Source organism: Homo sapiens, chromosome 1, assembly GCF_000001405.40.
Source record: "Homo sapiens chromosome 1, GRCh38.p14 Primary Assembly".
Taxonomy (NCBI): domain Eukaryota; kingdom Metazoa; phylum Chordata; class Mammalia; order Primates; family Hominidae; genus Homo; species Homo sapiens.
The window spans coordinates 242,651,597-242,652,791 of NC_000001.11; the positions used below are offsets into that span (position 1 = coordinate 242,651,597).

At 54.9% G+C, this 1,195-nt stretch overlaps 1 annotated feature.

The window, feature by feature from the left end:
• Positions 201-730: an enhancer, noted in NCBI's record as "H3K4me1 hESC enhancer chr1:242815099-242815628 (GRCh37/hg19 assembly coordinates)". NCBI's record gives its function as "activates a minimal SCP1, AML or CMV promoter by ChIP-STARR-seq in primed H9 embryonic stem cells {active_cell/tissue: H9 hESC(primed)}" and the evidence as "EXISTENCE:reporter gene assay evidence [ECO:0000049][PMID:30033119]".

Below are 1,195 nucleotides of genomic sequence, written 5' to 3' on the forward strand. Positions count from 1 at the left end.
GGTTGGTTTTCTGGTTCCTTCTCATTTGGGTAGGCTCTGTCTGAGGGAAGGTCCAGGGCTGAAGGCTGTTGTTCATATTCTTTTGTCCCACAAGCTGTTCCCTTGATGTAGTACTCTCCCTCTTTTCCTATGGATGTGGCATCCTGTGAGCTGAACTGCAGTGATTTTTGTCTCTCTTCTGGGTCTAGCCACCCAGCAAGTCTACCCAACTCTGGACTGGTACTGGGGGTTGTCTGCAGAGTCTTGTGATGTGAACCGTCTATGGGTTTCTCAGCTGTGGATACCAGTGCCTATTCCGGGGAGGTGGCAGGGTGGGGTGCAATGGACTCCGTGAGGGTTCTTAGCTCTGGTGGTTGAATGCTCTATTTTTGTGCTGGTTGGTCTCCTGCCAGGAGGTGGCGCTTTCTAGAAAGCATCAGCTATAGCAGTGTGGAGAGGGACCAGTGGTAGGTGGGGCCCTAGAACTCAAGATTATATGCCCTTTGTCTTCAGCTAGCAGGGTGGATAGGGAAGGACCATCAGGTGGGGGCAGGGTTTGGCTGTCTGAGCTCAAACTCTCCTTTGGTGGGTCCTGCTGCAGCTGCTCTGGGGGATGAAGGTGAGATTCCCAGGTCACCGGAGTTGTGTACCTAGGAGGATTATGGCAGCTGCTGCTGAGACATGCAGGTTGCCAGGGAAGTGGGGGAAAGGTGGCAGTCACAGGCCTCACCCAGCTGCCACGCAAACTGAAGGGCTGGTCTCACTCCCACCACGGCCCCTGCAACAGCCCCGAGTCTGTTTGCAGGAGGAGGGCAAGATGGGCTTGAAAACTTACCCCAGGCTACCTGCCTCCCAGTTGCGAAATAAATGGGCTTGGTTCTTCCCCTGCATGTGGAGTCTGCATACTGGATTTGCGCCCTCCCCTGAGATCTGGCCAGGAGGCTTCTCACCCTGTTCAAACTGTTACAAAGTTCAGCTAGAGATTTCCTTCCCTCTGTGGAGTTCTAGTCCTGCTCCTCTGGCTGCTCTCCCCATGGATCCCTGTGGTGCCAGGCCAGGCAGGAATGGCCTGCTAGGAGATGCAGTGAACCCCCAGGGCCCTTCTGCTGCTACCTCTACTCCTGTGTTTCGCTCGGCTGCCTGCATTGACTCAGCTCCAGGTAAAGTTGGAAACTTCCCCTGCAAACAGAACTTCAGCTTCTCCAGTGGGGGTGTG